This window comes from Homo sapiens, chromosome 9 (assembly GCF_000001405.40).
Source record: "Homo sapiens chromosome 9, GRCh38.p14 Primary Assembly".
Lineage (NCBI taxonomy): Eukaryota > Metazoa > Chordata > Mammalia > Primates > Hominidae > Homo > Homo sapiens.
The window spans coordinates 19,344,921-19,360,911 of record NC_000009.12 but is presented as its reverse complement, the minus strand read 5'-3'; the positions used below and the strand labels follow the sequence as shown (position 1 = coordinate 19,360,911).

The window sequence follows — 15,991 nt, the reverse complement described above, 5'->3', positions numbered from 1 at the left end:
ACATTTTCTAGCTACCCTTGCAGACAGATATGACCTAATAACTGAGTTCAGGCCAAGAAAATATATGTAGAAATATTATCTACAACTCCAGGAGCTATCCCTTAAGAAAAAAGACATACTCTCCTCTCCATCCATTTTTCTCCTAACTGCTGGATAGAAAGTAGATGTGACAGCTTGGAGGTAATCAGCCATCCTGGACCAAAAGCAGAACTTGGAAATGGAGGATATGCATAGCTAAACAAAAATATAAAAGGATCTTAGGTTCCTAACACTTTACCATTCCAGGACTGCTTATCCAAACTTTTAAGTGAGAGAGAAATAAATCTGTCTTGTTAAGCTGCTACTGTTGTATACTTTCAGGACCTTGAAGTTAAGCCTCATCCTACTGAATACTAATGTAAGTATAAAAGTTGGCACCCTACCTGTACACCTTCATTACAATGTTCAGATGTGAGGATAAGTCCTGGCAAGTTACTAGGAAGGTCCAAACGTCTGAAATACCAAACGAGGTTCCAGAAAATGATTGGATGTTGATTGATGAAAGAAGATGTATGAATCACCTGATCACCTTCATTTTCTAGCAAAGATTCAAGTTCTTTACGGAGTACTAGAGGACTCAAGTAGGGCACAGAAACAGGGGGAGGATTGGGTCTTTTTCCTAAAGGATCCTTAAAAAAAATACAAAAAGAAATTAATATTATCTGTTTAAATCTGTATGCTCAAGAGCACTTCTCAATGAGATAATGCCTCTCTATCCTTTTTAAATCAGTTATTTTAGGACCATTGCTACATGCAAGAGAATATGCTAATGAATGAAAACCTAAAAAAGAAAATACTTAAATACTGTTAAGTTAAATCATTACAAAAGAAAATTAATCAACAGACTCTTTAAAACATGTTCTCTATCACACTGAGAGCAATGGCCTGAATGTATTAGGTTTTTTTCAATTTTTATAAGAAATATTTGCATTTCAGATGCTTTATAGTAATGTATGTGTGTAAAAACTGTGTGACATTATCTTCCTCCTACAACTCTAAACTGATGGGGCAATCTTTTGCATTAATATTCTTTGTTGACTTAACTCACTTTTACAACTGATTGCAACAAAAACTGAAGGAATTAAAGAAATAGCATTTTTATAATTCAAATAAAATAAGAAATGAAAAAAGACCCAACCTAGACTTTGTGAGTTATGCATATTATAATCAGGATAAAATGTTTAAGACTCTCTCATCAACAGTGAGTCCCCCTGGTGCCTAGACTGTGGTCTCCAAAACCATTTCCCTCTAAAGGGACCCACAGTTTCTTAGAGAAACAGCTGATTCTAGGTCTGGGTAAGAAAGTATATAACATAAGCATAAAACATCTTGTCATATAAGAAAGCAAGAAAGCTTTTTAAAAATTACAAAAATGCTACTAGAGTTGTGTCAAAAGGACTAATGAGCTAACTTCTAGAGGCTTCTAGCTGACCAAAGAGAATAATATAAGCATGAACAACGATAAAAACAGCAATAGATATAAAGATAAATGTTTAAGGCATGGTAGTGTGTGCCTGTGGTTCCAGTTATTAGGGAGGCTGAAGCAGGAGGATCACTTGAGCTCAGGAGTTTAGGAATAGCCTGGGCAACAAAGCAAGATCCCCATCTCTAAAAATTAATTACTTAATTAAACATAAATGTTGAAATCAATGAGCTCATAATGATACCCTATTCCTCCAAATTAATTGATGACCTTGGAGAATGACAGGGACTCAACTCGCTATTTTGAAAACTCTAAATAAAAGGAAAAAATCAAGCATTTAACCTGCCTTTCCACTATAAATTTTATCTTTTGAAAATCTAACAGAGACATAGGGAAATTTCTGTTTATGTATTCCTTATTATAAGGAAGAAATGACAGAATGAGACCATTATCATTTTATAGCTCCTAATGAATTACTTTATCTAGGCATTAAGGCATTAATAGCTACTAATGTTTATGTCTCCTGCTGGGAGGAACATACCACCACTGATGAAATCGTCTTACAAAAATAAACAAGCAAATGAACACTAACACAAAAACCCCAAATCTGATCAAGGTTCCGGACACAAATTCCAACTTTTATCGTTGCAATCAGCAAAATCTGGATTATGGAAAACTGTACTCTAACCAGTTTTATCAACAAATAAATTGCAAGAGGAAAAGAGTCTACAGATTCAAAAAGACTAAAAACTATATCAACCAAGTGCAATACACTGACTTTATTTGATCCTGATTCCTCAAACTACAACCCACACATACACAAGCACACATATGCATTTGACATTTTTGAGACAATCAGAAATTTGAACAGACTAAATAACTTGATACTATTATTTGGGGTTTTTTTTGTATGATAAAAGCAGTGTGATTATATTTTTCTAAAGTCCTCATCATTCAGGGATACATACTGAAATATTTACTAACAGAATATGTGATGTTTGAAATTTGCTTCAAAATAATCTCAAAAAAAGAGAGAACTGAATGAGAATATACATAAAAGAAGAATGCCATAAACTGAAAATAACTGAAGCTAGATGATGGGGGACTCATTATACTGTTTCTTTTTGTACATATTTGAAATTCTCCACAATAAAAAGTTATTTGTTTATGGAAAAACTCTATCACTTTTCATGTAATTAAAATAAGTCCACTACAGAAGAATTTATAATGTTCTACTATATACTTAGGTGTGTATGCAGTATAATTACAATGTTGTTGTTGTTACATACCACAACTTCCTGCAGACTATTTGGAAGACTAACTGTTGAGATGCCATGAAACGGTCGCTGGGTAAAGTCAATATTCTGCAATGGGCCTCCAACACTGTGACTTCGAGTCAAAGACACATTTCGCTTTGATAAACTATTAGGCACAGATGAAATTTTCATAGTTTGGACATCTCCACTGGCTCTCTTTATTTCATCACTTAAAAATAAATATAGAAGAAATGCTATGTTCATGTTGAAAAACAGTCTAAATCTGTAGAGCTAGAGTATTTTCTACAATGGACCTTGAGTCTACTAAATATATCTAAGAAGAATCAGCACCACCTTGTAAGAATTGCATTTCCTTCAACCATTTTTGTAAAACTGGTCAGAAAAACAGGATGGAGTAGATGGTTCTGGTGAGGGGTGGGAAGATGACATATTGTAGATATACAGGTATTATTTTAAAAAGACAAAGTACCCATTCAGTTGCTTTACTCAAATATTATTTCATCTTTATTAAACAAAATTACCTAGAAGTATGCTATATGCAAATAAGTACAATAAAGACACTGACAAGTATTTAATCTCTACTAGGCCACGATCCACCTAAGGAGAGAGACCCAGTCATATTTACTTTTTTATTTTTAGAGCTTAGCATAATATTTAGCATACAATAGAGTCTCAATAAATGTTTGATTCAATTAGTATTTAAGGGCCAAGTGTACATTTCACAGAAAGAGAACATTTCGCCTCTGGAAACTGGCAATGACTATATTAAAAGGGAAATATTTTACTGTTGAGAAGTTCATTTTGTAAAAGACAACTGTAAAATATTAAACTTAGTTCAAAAATGGTTTATCATCAGATTCATTCATTAGCTCGTTAAACACTATGTGGTAATAAGTTAAGATGTACTCTTAAATGCCAGAACTTATGCCTATATGAGTCAGGTTGTCTTTAGAGACAGAATTTTTACAAGGGTACCCCATTTATTACTACATAAAGAGGTCTCTGTACCCTTTGATACCTTGGTTCAACTGCAGAGCCTGTTTCTTCAGTTATGATCTGGTTATGTTTTGGGAAGTCCATAAAGTTGATCAAGTCAGGTTCTGCTAAACTGGATACAGGTTTGTGCTCCAAGGATTCATTTGCCAATGGAATGCTTCCACTTTGTAAACTGTCACCAGAGGTACTTGGTTTCAGGAAAAAGCTACATAAGGAAAAGGGGGGAAAAAGAGCCTTTAAAAATCCTCAAGTTTTCTAAAATTCTATCATATTTAGAATCATTTTATTGCTAAAGCAGTCATTAATAAAATTATATATAATCCAGAAGGAAAACACGGCCTATTTCCAATACACTCTCACTCTCTCTCTCTCTCTCTCTCTCTCTCTCACACACACACACACATTCCTGCTCTCATTTTCTCTTCCCCTCCTATCCTAAACTTTTCAAATACAAGGTTGGAAATGGTCCAATAAATGATATTCCAATTTTTGAGAACCACTAAAGAAAACTGTGAGGGAAGAGGGAAAGCAAAATATTTTATTAATTTCCTGAGTTAAAAAAAAAAATAAAGAGCTGCAGTAGCAGCACTTTAAGATATATTAACCTATAATTACTTATAATGTCTTTTATCACTTATAAATCTCCATCTTGTTTCTAATCATTTCTTCTCTGTTCATTGTTTTATTTACATCTTATCTCTCTCCTTCTCTCTTTGGGTGGGACTTGAGGAGGGAAGGGCCTTGCAAGGAACATTTAGAGAATTTTCTGAGGTAATGGTAATGTTTTCTAAGGGTTTAATTTGCACAAATACATGCATTTATTCTTCAAATGGTATGTTTAAGATTTGTACATTTTGCTGTATATCAATTTATCTCAAAATAAAAAAATTGTCAATAAATACTGAACTCTAATGATATGCATATCAAAGTCTTTGGGGGAGAAATGTATTAATATCTCTATCTCACCTTCAAATGAATAAAAATTTAAGATAGATTGGTGGAGAGACAGATAGGTGATAGACTAAGTATAGTAAAGTGTAAATTGAAGGACGCAGGGGTAGATATTTGCGTGCTCATTGAAAAAAAACCTTTAAAATTTGTTGTAAGCTTGAAATTTTCTATAACAACATATTCAGGGGACAGACTTAATAATGCTCCTTTATACCCAATTTGAAAAATATAAAATAAAATGCTTGTCACGATAGCTTAAAAACACAATTAACTCAAAAAGTATAGGACTTATGGAGAATAATTTAAACCTGTGTTAAAGGACATAAAAGAAGATCTGAAAAAAAATACAGAGATATACCAGGCTCACAGATAAGATAATAATAATAGAAAAGTCAATTTTCCTCACATTAATCTATAAATCTCAAAGAAAACTCTAGTTGGATTTTTTTTGAGGACCTCAAACTTATTCTAAGAATTCACAGGAAAGAGCAAGCATACAAAAAATAATAACAATACAATCCAAGAGTGGGAACTCACCCTACTAACCAGAGATACAACACAAGGACCAAGTGATGAAAACAACATGGCATTAAGAAAAACAGCAAGAAAATGCAGAACCAAGTGAGGTATACATGGGAACTGAAATATGATAAAGGTGACACCATATAGCAGTAAGCAAAGGATAGGTTATTTAGTGGATAATATTGGGATAACTGGATTGTTACATGGAGGAAAAATGAAAGCTGGATCTCTACCATCATATATAAAAAGTAGAATAAAGATATATTAAAGACCTAAACATCAAAAGTAAAATATAAGCAAAAACGTTCAAGGATAAAAATTTCAGGTCCTAGGGATAGGGAACAACTTTAAAAACAAGATTCCAAAAGCACAAATTGCAAGGTAAAAAATTAATGGATGACATCAAAATTAATGCTTTCAAGTAATTAATATCAATAATATTCAAGTCAGATCAACAAGAAAAAGAAAGATCAATAGAAAAATAGGCAATGAATGGCCAGGCATGGTGGCTGACGCCTGTAATCCCGGCACTTTGGGAGACCAAGGTGGGCGGATCACAAGGTCATGAGATCGAGACCATCCTGGCTAACATGGTGAAACCCTGTCTCTACCAAAAATACAAAAAAATTAGCCGGGCGTGGTGGTGGGTGCCTGTAGTCCCAGCTACTTGGGAGGCTGAGGCAGGAGGATGGCATGAACCTGGGAGGTGGGGCTTGCAGTGAGCCAAGATTGCGCCACTGTACTCCAGCCTGGGTGACAGAGCAAGACTCCATCTCAAAAAAAAAAACAAACAGCCAAAAAAGAAAAAAAAAATAGGCAATGAACATAAGCAACCAATTCATAGAAAATGCTAGAGCAGGCCAGGTGCAGTGGCTCACGCCTGTAATCCCAGCACTTTGGGAGGCCAAGGTGGGTGGATCATCTGAGATCAGGAGTTCGAGACCAGCCTGGCTAACATGGCGAAACCCCATCTCTACAAAAATTACAAAAATTAGCTGGGCATGGTGGTGGGCACTCCCAGCTACTCGGGAGGCTAAGGCAGGAGAATCGCTTCAACCTGGGAGGCAGACGTTGTAGGCCAAGATTGTGCCATTGGACTCCAGCCTGGGCGACAAGAGTGAAACTCTGTCTCCAAAAAAAAAAAAAAAAAAAAAGGCTAGAATAACAAGTAATGAAGAGACACTCAAATTTGTCAGTATCAAGAGAAATTCAAACAATGCCAAAATTTAAAAAGTGATAATACCAAATGCTGGTAAGGCTATATAGAAATGAGAATTCTTGGGTACTACTTGTGGGAGTGCAGCCGTCTAGGAAGCAATATTTTGTGTTTACTAAAATCATGTATGAAAATGATCTTACTCCAAGGATTATCGTTTTCTTAGAGAAACTACTTCACAAGTCCAAAAGGGGACATGTATTTTGCAGTGCACTGCATTACTACCGTGGTGTTTGTAGTAACAGAGAACTGAAAGTAACTGAAGTACCCAACACTAGAATAATGGATAAGTAGAAAGGTATATTAACTTCCTGTAGAAGAAAAGGAATAAACTAGATGTACATATAGTAACCCAGATTTAAAATAGAGCAATAAAAAGAAGTAAATTTAGATATATATCACACTTAGCAGAGTCAGTGTCTTCGTAGAATAGGGGAATGAGGGTGGGAATGAGGAAAGGAGGATAAACACGAGAGGGCCCTTGCACAGTCCAAAGATGATAGTGTGTCAGGAATTAAAGAGTATGATTTGACTTAGCTCCACCCTTGAAGCTAAAAGAAAAAACAGAGAAGAAACACCTCTACAATTAAATGGTGTGATTTCAGCTCACTGCAACCTTCGCCTCCTGGGTTCAAACCATTTTCCTGCCTCAGCCTCCTGGTTGCTGGGACTACAGGCATGTGCCATGGTGTCGGGCTAACCTTTTTTGTATTTTTTTGTAGAGATGGGGTTTTGCCATGTTGCCCAGGCTGGTCTCGAACTCCTGACCTCAAGTGATCTGCCTGCCTCGGCCTCCCAAAGTACTGGGATTACAGGCATGAGCCATCATGCCCAGCCTAAATGTTTTTGTTGTTTTTTCAGAGACAGAGTCTCTCTCTGTCACCCAGACTGGAGTGCAGTGGTGCAATCTCAGCTCACTGCAACCTCCACCTCCCAGGTTCAAGCAATTCTCCTGCCTCAGCCTCCCGGGTGCCTGGGACTACAGGCGCACGCCGCCACACCTGGCTAATCTTTTGTATTTTAGTAGAGACAGGGTTTCACTGTGTTGCCCAGGCTGGTCTCGAACTCCTGAGCTCAGGCAATCCACCTGTCTGGGCCTCCCAAAGTGCTAGGATTAAGGTGTGAGCCACCACACCTGGCAGTGTATTTTTTTTAAAGCAGCTAAAGGCAGGAAATAAAAAGTTCAATTTGTTCCATAAAATGAATGGAATATTAAGTATAATTCCCTAGGTCAGCACAGAGTCACCAAACTCTCAATTATTTTATGTATAATTATAGATCAGCTAGTCTTATATCTATTGCCTAGAATTTGGTCATTTCACTGCACAGAATACTACTAGGACGTGCAAGTGACAAGAGAAGAGTTGAAGCCTTTTTTTCCCCTTTGTTTCTTCTAAAATATATACTCACTGCAGCTTCAAACTCCTGGGCTCACGCGATCCTCCTATGTCAGCCTTCCTAGTAACTGCTACCACAGGTGCACACTACCATGCCCAGCTAATTTTAAAAAATCTTTTGTAGAGACAGGGTCTTGCCATGTTGCCCAGGCTGGTCTTGAACTCCTGACCTCAAGCAATCCTCCCACCTGGGCCTCGCAAAGTGTTGAGATTACAGCATGAGCCACGGAGCCCGGCTGATAATCTTACTTTAAATAAAATGGAAAAGTAGACTCCCACATTACTAGTATTTGCTACTCAAATACTGAAGGTGAAGGACAGACAGGAAGGCAGACCTGGAGCATACCAGGAATATTTCACTCTTCTCCCAGAAGTCGTGTTTTTTGAGGGTACTTACTTCTTGAGAGAGCTTTTATAAGACTAACCTTGCAGAACCTCTCAAATCTTTGAATTCTATATTGAGAAGAGGCAAGAAGTTGCTTTTACAGAATGGACAAGCTGTATTCAAATTTGAGTCATCTGCTGTCCATCCAGCCATAATTTCTTCATCATAAACTAAAGCTCCACAAGCTCTACACTGTGAACAACTGGACATCAAAACCTAAAAACAGAAAAATGCAGACACTGAGAACGTTTAATAAAAATTAATCTTAACAGGAATTCTCTTGAGATAATGGGATTTTTTTTATTCTACTGATCAAATTTGGAATTATTAATAACAGTTCTTTTATTTCACAGGTAAACTACCAGTTCAATGTCTTACTTACATAAGACATCAAGCAAATTCAACAAAATGACTTATTTTATTATACTGTCCACAAGGGTATCTTAGAATCCTGTTAAATGCCATTCTGAAATAAAAATATGCTTACAGCTACTTTATCATGAACTGAATATAGAACTTTTACCTCCATTGCACAATTCTGATAGATGCTAGACATGCTGGTATTTTGAGAAGAACCATGATCTGATTTTTCAAAGTCTTGCCCTTTCATGCCTCTTGGAAATGGAACTTCACCTACAAAGGAATATACATCGTAATACCTTAAGTAAGGAATGTCCTTGTTTTTTGAAAATGCATGCCAAAGTATTTAGGGGGGACACAGAATAAAGTCTGCAACTGTTTTTCAAGTGGCTCAGTATAAAAATGTATGCATACATAGAAAGAGATAAAGTTAACAATAGTTAATTAAATCTAGGTGGAAAATACATGATTGTTCATTATACGATTCTTTCAACTTTCAGGACATTTGAAATTTTTTTTTCTTTTCTTTTTTTTTTTTTTAGATGGAGTCTCGCTCTGTTGCCCAGGCTAGAGTGCAGTGGTACAATCTCGGCTCACTGCAACCTCTGCCTCCCAGGTTCAAGTGATTCTCCTGCCTCCGCCTCCCAGGTAGCTGGGATTACAGGCGCACGCTGCCACGCCTGGCTAATTTTTTTTGTATTTTAGTAGAGACGGTTTCACTGTGTTGCCCAGGCTGGTCTTGAACTCCTGAGCTCAGGCAATCCACCCGCCTTGCCTCCCGAAGTGCTAGGATTACAGGCATGAGCCACTGTGTCCGGTTTGGACATTTTAAATTTTTACAGTAAAAAGTCAGAGAAAAAGAACCGAATTATAATTTTAAAAAGTAACATGGAGTAAGAAACTTCAATGACACATCCTAGTGATTCTCCAACTCTGGTATACATCGGATTCACCCAGAGAACTGCTTAAAAATACACATTCCCAAGGCCCCATCTCACAAATTCAGTCTCAGAAGTTTTAGCGTTAGGCTTGGACATTTGCATTTATTTTGAAACAAATTTCCCAGATTATTCTGATGCATGCCAAAGTTTGAGAACTAATGATATAATCCGTGAATATATACAACTAAAAACAAAGGCAGTAGGTGACCACAGTAGTTATAAATCATACAAGATCAGAATAGATCATAAGGCGGCTAGTATTAAAAATCTCTCAATCATTTCAACAAATGGGGCTTATTGAGCGGGGAGTTACAGGCATCTAAATTAAAATAAGCAAAGACAGGCCAGGCGCTGTGGCTCACGCTTGTAATCCCAGCACTTTGGGAGGCCGAGGCAGGCAGATTGCTTGAGCCCAGGAGTTCGAGACCAGCCTGGGCAACAAGACAAAACCCCGTCTCTTAAATTAAAAAAAAAAAGCAAAAACTATTATAAAGCAAATGAAGAAAGGATAATCCTTCCCCATACCTGTTGGATAATGCAGTTTTCCTACATCTCCACTACTGCTGCTACTGCCAAGACTTGTGTTGCTCTGGGTAAGTTCACTGGGGACCAACCCTGAGATACTTGTGTTAGGCGATATATTCTCCCCCAAAATATGGTCTTCTAGGCCAGCTGGGAAGCTGTAGTCTCTATTAGTTTCTTCCTTTAATTGAAAAAAAAAAATTCCACATACATAAATAATACCTTCTCCAGTGGGATTATACCCACTCTACCCTTTTCAAAATTAAACTCTATAATCCTTAAACAAATCATCATCCCCACATTTTTCAAAACCATGAAATCTCCTCACTATTATTTCACTTCCACACTCTAAGACATTCAAGCCATAAGCAACAATACTTTAAGAAAGATCGTGGTGTGCCTCAGGTGTATGTGGGAGGTCTGGGTGTCTCTCAATATTGAATCTTATAAAATAACAGAATTCTAGGGAGCCCACTGTCTCCAATGGAATCAGGAATCCCAGTACAAGTAGAGTAGGGGTTTTTGAATCAGACAGCCAGATTGTGACCTTGTTCTCCACCATTTATTAGATATGTAAACTTACAGAAATTACTAAACTTCTTTAACTTTTAATTATGTAATCTGAAAATATGGATAATATGAGTTGTTTCAAATAAAGCTGCTGTGATAATTTCGGCTGGGAATCTGAATGTTCAGAATAACAAATATCAATATTAGAGCCAAGAAACATGAATAAAGTTTCAAACACTGTAGTTCTTAACTACATAGGTGATTGTTGAAGCTTTAGGTAGAAAACATTTCAACAATCAGGTTTTTTTGCTTTAAAAATGAAAGATTTGTGTCTTCCTTGTTATAAAACCATGTTACATGATTTTAAAAAATTAAATACAGATAAGCAAAACAAGGAATGAAAAATGCTTATGATATCAACAGTCAGAGAATATAATCAAAATCTTGATATACATCTTTCTAGTCATTTAAAACATACATATAAAATCATATAAATCTTTACAAATTAGAATATTGTTTTTCACCTGTACTTCTTATGTAATTATTTTAATGTCATTAAATTTTCTTCTAATTATTTAAACACCTGTGAACTAATCTGTTTTACTGATATACTATTATGTATTTACTAACTCCCCTGTTGCTTAAACATTCAAAATGCTTCAATCTTATATAAATTACATTGGTAAATTCCTCTATTTTTACATATACCTCTAATTAATTCCTTAAACTCGGGATGAAAGTTAAAAACATTTTATAGACTTTTCATTCATTCCTTCATGTGTAAATATTTATTAGGTATCTCCTATTTGCCTTTTGCCAGGTACTGCTTACTGGTGCCAGGGATGTAACAATGAAAAGACAAGACAAGATCCACAGTGACTTGGAATTTACAGTGTCACATATTCCAAGTCCACATATCCCTGTGTAATGTACTTCTGTTTTTAACAGATAATTTTTGGGGAGGCAAGGGAGAAAGGGTCTCTATCACCCAGGCTGGAGTGCAGTGGTGTGATCTCGGCTCACTGCGACCTCTGCCTCCTGGGCTCAAGCTATCCTCCCACCTCACCTTCTGGAGTAGCTGAGACTACAGGTACATGACATCACGCCCAGCTAATTTTTGTATTTTTTTGTATAGATGGGGTTTCACCATGTTGCCCATGCTAGGCTCAAACTCCTGGGCTCAAGCAAATGCCCACTTCAACCTCTGAAAGTGCTGGGATTACAGGCATGAGTCCTCATAACCAACCTCAATAAAATTTCAAAAATAAAACAAAGGCCGGGTGCAGTGGCTCATGGCTGTAATCCCAGCACTTTGGGAGACCTAGGAACACTTGAGCCCAGGAGTCCAAGACCAGCTTGGGCAACATAGCAAGACCCTATCTCTACAAAAAATAAAATATTAGCAGTCATGGTGGGGCACGCCTGGAGTCCTAGCAATCAGGAGGCTGAGGCAGGAGGATTGCTTGAGCCCAGGGGGTCAAGGCTACAGTGAGCCATCCCTGTGCCACTGTATTCCAGCTTGGGTAACAGAGCAAGTGCCTGTCTCAAAAAATAAAATAAAATGATACACTTTTTTTTTTCTTTTTTATCATAATGCCAGATTAAGACAGTTTGGAAGCTATTTTATTTCGCCTTCCCTTGACTGACCTCGTAAGCTCTTTAAATACAAAATAGTTAATTTATAATGTTCAATACTATACTTTTAATTCAATTATTATTTTGTCTATAAAGTATTCCTTCAAATGGTATAAAAGTCTTATACGTCTAATTTTTTTTCCCACGTCTCTAATTCCAATTTAGACCTTTTACGATCTGAAATTGATTATATTACCTTGAAAGTACATGATGCTTTAAGCTTCCAAGCCATTTCACATTATTCTTTCAGATATACTCTTCTGACACTCTTCTTACAGCTTTAACCCCAAATGTCAAATTTATCCTTCAAATCCTAAATTAGATATCACCTGCTTTGCTTTTTTTCTGGATAGCCCCCAACCTGAACCTCTTTTCATATATTGCTCTTTGGTATCTTCTCCTGAGATATCGCTTCTAAGGTAAGAGCATGGACTCTAGAGCCAATCTCTCTGACTTCAAATCATAGTTCTACTATTCCCTAGTTGTATCATCTTGAGAAGCTAATTAGCCTCTCTGAGTTTCAAATATCATCTACAAAATCAGGATAACAACAGTACCACCCTCATGGGGTTGCTGTGAAAATTAAACAAATACCTATGTTTGTATATATTCATATATAAAACCAGACATATAGCTTATAACAGTACCTAGGACATACTGTTAAATAACGAGAGCAAACATTATACATATCTGCCTTATCTACTAAAGTACTCAAATACTATACAATTTCATACAAGGTGAAATTTCAATTTTTTTCTGTAAAACAAGCAAAACTTACCCACTTTTGTTTTTACCAAAAGATCTAATGATTAACTCTATGTATAACGTTTTTTTAAAGACAATTATTTTTGCCATGTGGTATGAAATCCATGGATTAAGCTGCAGCTTGACTTCATATGTATTAAGGAGATTACATAGGTAAAAATTATTTTAAAAGTGAATGCTACACAAATATAACATGGCATTTTTATTAACTTCAAACACTAATCATTAGAGCTTTCAAAGAAATAAATAATGTTTTAGTTTAGACTAGTGTATGGAATTATAAAATGGTCCCAATATTCTATTTCTACATTATTAACTTCCTTACATATACGGTTCAAGTTACTTCAAGAAAGAAACCAAATATGCATAGTTTTTAAATATGAAAACCAAAGTTACCAGAACTGTCTTAATAATCCTTCACATATTTTTAAAAAGATATACAAACATTCCATATCAGATAGACTACACAAAATAGACTACAGATAGACTATTCTATATTAGATAGACTATGCAAAATATAAAAACCAAAGTTACCAGAAATCAGCCAGGCATGGTGGCTCATGCCTGTAATCCCAGCACTTTGGGAGGCTGATGCAGTTGGATCACCTGAGGTGAGGAGTTCAAGACCAGCCTGGCCAACATGGTGAAACCTCATCTCTACTAAAAATACAAAAATTAGCTGGGCATGGTGGCACACCCCTATAGACCCAACTACTCAGGCAAGAGAATCGCTCAAAGCCGGGAGGCAGAGGTTGCAGACAGCCAAAATCATGCCACTGTACTCCAGCCTGGGCACAGAAATCTCTGAACAAGAATACATATATTTCTAGAAAGATACTATAAACACTCCAATAGCAGACAGACTACACACATAAAGCTTTCTTACCTCATCATCTGAGTAGCTGTAGGCAGACGCAACAGCTACCCACATCTTACTGGCTACTGTCGCTGCTTGTTTCATACCAGATTTCAGGACATCTATCTTGGGCCCTGAGAGTATATTATCCAGCTTTAGCCCTGACAAAGAATTTACTACAGAACCCAACGAGCCATGTGGCGAAGAACGCACCAGTGCTGACAAAGAAGTTGAACGTTCTTTATGAGTTCGAGAGGGGGTTTGCTGCTTGAAACGCCCAGTAAAAGTTTTAGACCTGGACACTGCAGGTGAGCTCTTTTCACTTTCAGGATTTTCCTGTGCTGGTGAACCATGATCTAAAGGTAGGCTTGATCTCCTCTCTAGAGCATGAATAAATGCAGTAGTCATGCCAGACTCTCTGTTTTCCTCTCTGTGTAATTCCATACTAGAAGATTTACTACCTAGGGGACTTTTTAGGTTCATATAGCTTTCTATTTCATCAGCCAGATTACGTGCAATAACTGGAGAAAACAACTTATCTTCAGAATCAGGAGTTTTTCCTCCTGTACATTCAGTGGCTAAAAGAGACAAAGGATCTAGTCCAGTTTCAACATCTTCCCTCTGAACCACCTTAGCAATACCATATAAACTACTTCTCTTATTCCTCAGATCTTTGGATACTGTTTTCAAGTCTCTGGACTGATTACTGTTACTATCACTTAGTAGACTCTCATATGTATCTACTGTTGCAGTAGTTTTAGGTACGTCATCAACCACAGGCTCAAGGAGTTCTTGGCTTTCCTCAAGCATCTCTGGCACCGGAGATGATCTGTGCTCAGGATTCCAAGTGCTTTCAGACATACAAGTCCTACTATCAGGTAGGTGACAGCTAACATTCTCAAAGCTATGGGTTCTTGCAATATGAAGTAGAGAAGTCTTAGGACATGTCAATGCTGCTGTGAGAATCTTGGCATCTGCTCCCATCATGATAGCCATTTCACTTGAATTCGAATCCAAACTACTCTTCTTAAGCAACATTCCTGCTCGACTTTCAGAACTAAAACTACAACTCCTCTCAGGAAAATGCTTTTGTCTTTTTTCTCCTCTATCACCATTCTTCTTGAGATTAGTAGCTTCGCCAAAGACTGCATCTTCAACTGGATCTTGAGTAGAAAACAGCACATTTGATATACTACCTAAAAGGGAAAGTAAAATATTAACAATGAACCTATTTTCCAAGTTAACTTTTATTAAAATATTTATTGTTTTCCTGATTATGAATGTGACATATACTCAGAATAAAAGATCCAGAAAATTTAGAGGCCATAAAGAAAGTATAAAAAAAAGTGCACTGGAAAAGCTATTTAAAACTTGCCTCCCAGGGACATTTTAATGTATAACCTGTCTTTCATCCTATATTTATATAAACACCCATTTAAAAAAACAAATCATGCAACATATGATAGATGGATATACCTGTGTTCTTCACTAAAATACAGAAAAAGAAAGAATCTCTTCCATCTTAGTTTTGTATCCAATTCAACAAATACTTGCCAGTAATCTACTCTGCAAAAAGCAAATTTGTAATCTTATAGGAATTGTATATTTGCTATACTCAAAGTCTTACTGCTGTAAAGTAAAATAATCCGGAATGGAATGCTTAGCACTGGCAAATTCTAAGAAGGCTGATAAAATCTGAGTGGTTAAAAAATTATTCAGATATATCCATTTCTTCAACAAATACTAAACGTCTACTAGTAGCCACTATATGAGGTGCTAGGAATATAAAGGCAAATAAAACAGACATAATCCTAGCCTTCACAGAAGTCAGTCTTATTTGATCAGGTAGAGAAAAAATATGCTAATGGCCATAGCAGCTTCCCCCAGCTTTGGAAAAAGAAAGCAGTCTTTTACTCTTGGCTACCATGCAATTTGTTTCACTCCAAGACCAAAAGCTGTTATTTCCTATTTGAATCATTATTAGAACTTAAGTCTACCTGTTATGGACTGAATGTTTGTGTCCGCCAAAATCCACATGCTAAAATCCTAACCCTCAGTGTGACAGTATTAGGAGGCAGGGCCTTTGAAAGATAATTTGATCATGAAAGTGGAACCCTGATGAATGGGATTAGAGCCCTTAAAGGAGAGCTCTCTCCTTCTCTGCTGTACGAGGATACAATAAGTTAGCACTCTGCA

The 15,991-nt window shown here is 36.6% G+C and overlaps 1 protein-coding gene across 39 annotated transcripts in view; it reads right to left on the bottom strand.

The window, feature by feature from the left end:
- The window catches only part of DENND4C (DENN domain containing 4C), a 143,769-nt gene that overhangs the window by 13,370 nt on the left and 114,408 nt on the right, over window positions 1–15,991 (bottom strand). For 26 of the 39 annotated variants that reach the window (NR_169850.1, NR_169844.1, NR_169851.1 and 23 more), the window contains 7 exons: window positions 13,826–14,991; window positions 10,033–10,210; window positions 8,730–8,839; window positions 8,247–8,422; window positions 3,758–3,940; window positions 2,752–2,947; window positions 423–668 (listed from right to left, as the gene is read on the bottom strand). Coding sequence is in view for 25 of the 39 variants with exons in the window: in NM_001386047.1 (NP_001372976.1) it covers window positions 423–668; window positions 2,752–2,947; window positions 3,758–3,940; window positions 8,247–8,422; window positions 8,730–8,839; window positions 10,033–10,210; window positions 13,826–14,991 (2,255 nt within the window). In the remaining 14 variants the exon portion in view is untranslated. Of the gene's footprint in view, window positions 1–422; window positions 669–2,751; window positions 2,948–3,747; window positions 3,941–8,218; window positions 8,423–8,729; window positions 8,840–10,032; window positions 10,211–13,825; window positions 14,992–15,991 lie in introns of those variants that run through there. The other 13 variants (NR_169854.1, NR_169853.1, NR_169852.1 and 10 more) reach the window with 11 other exon arrangements.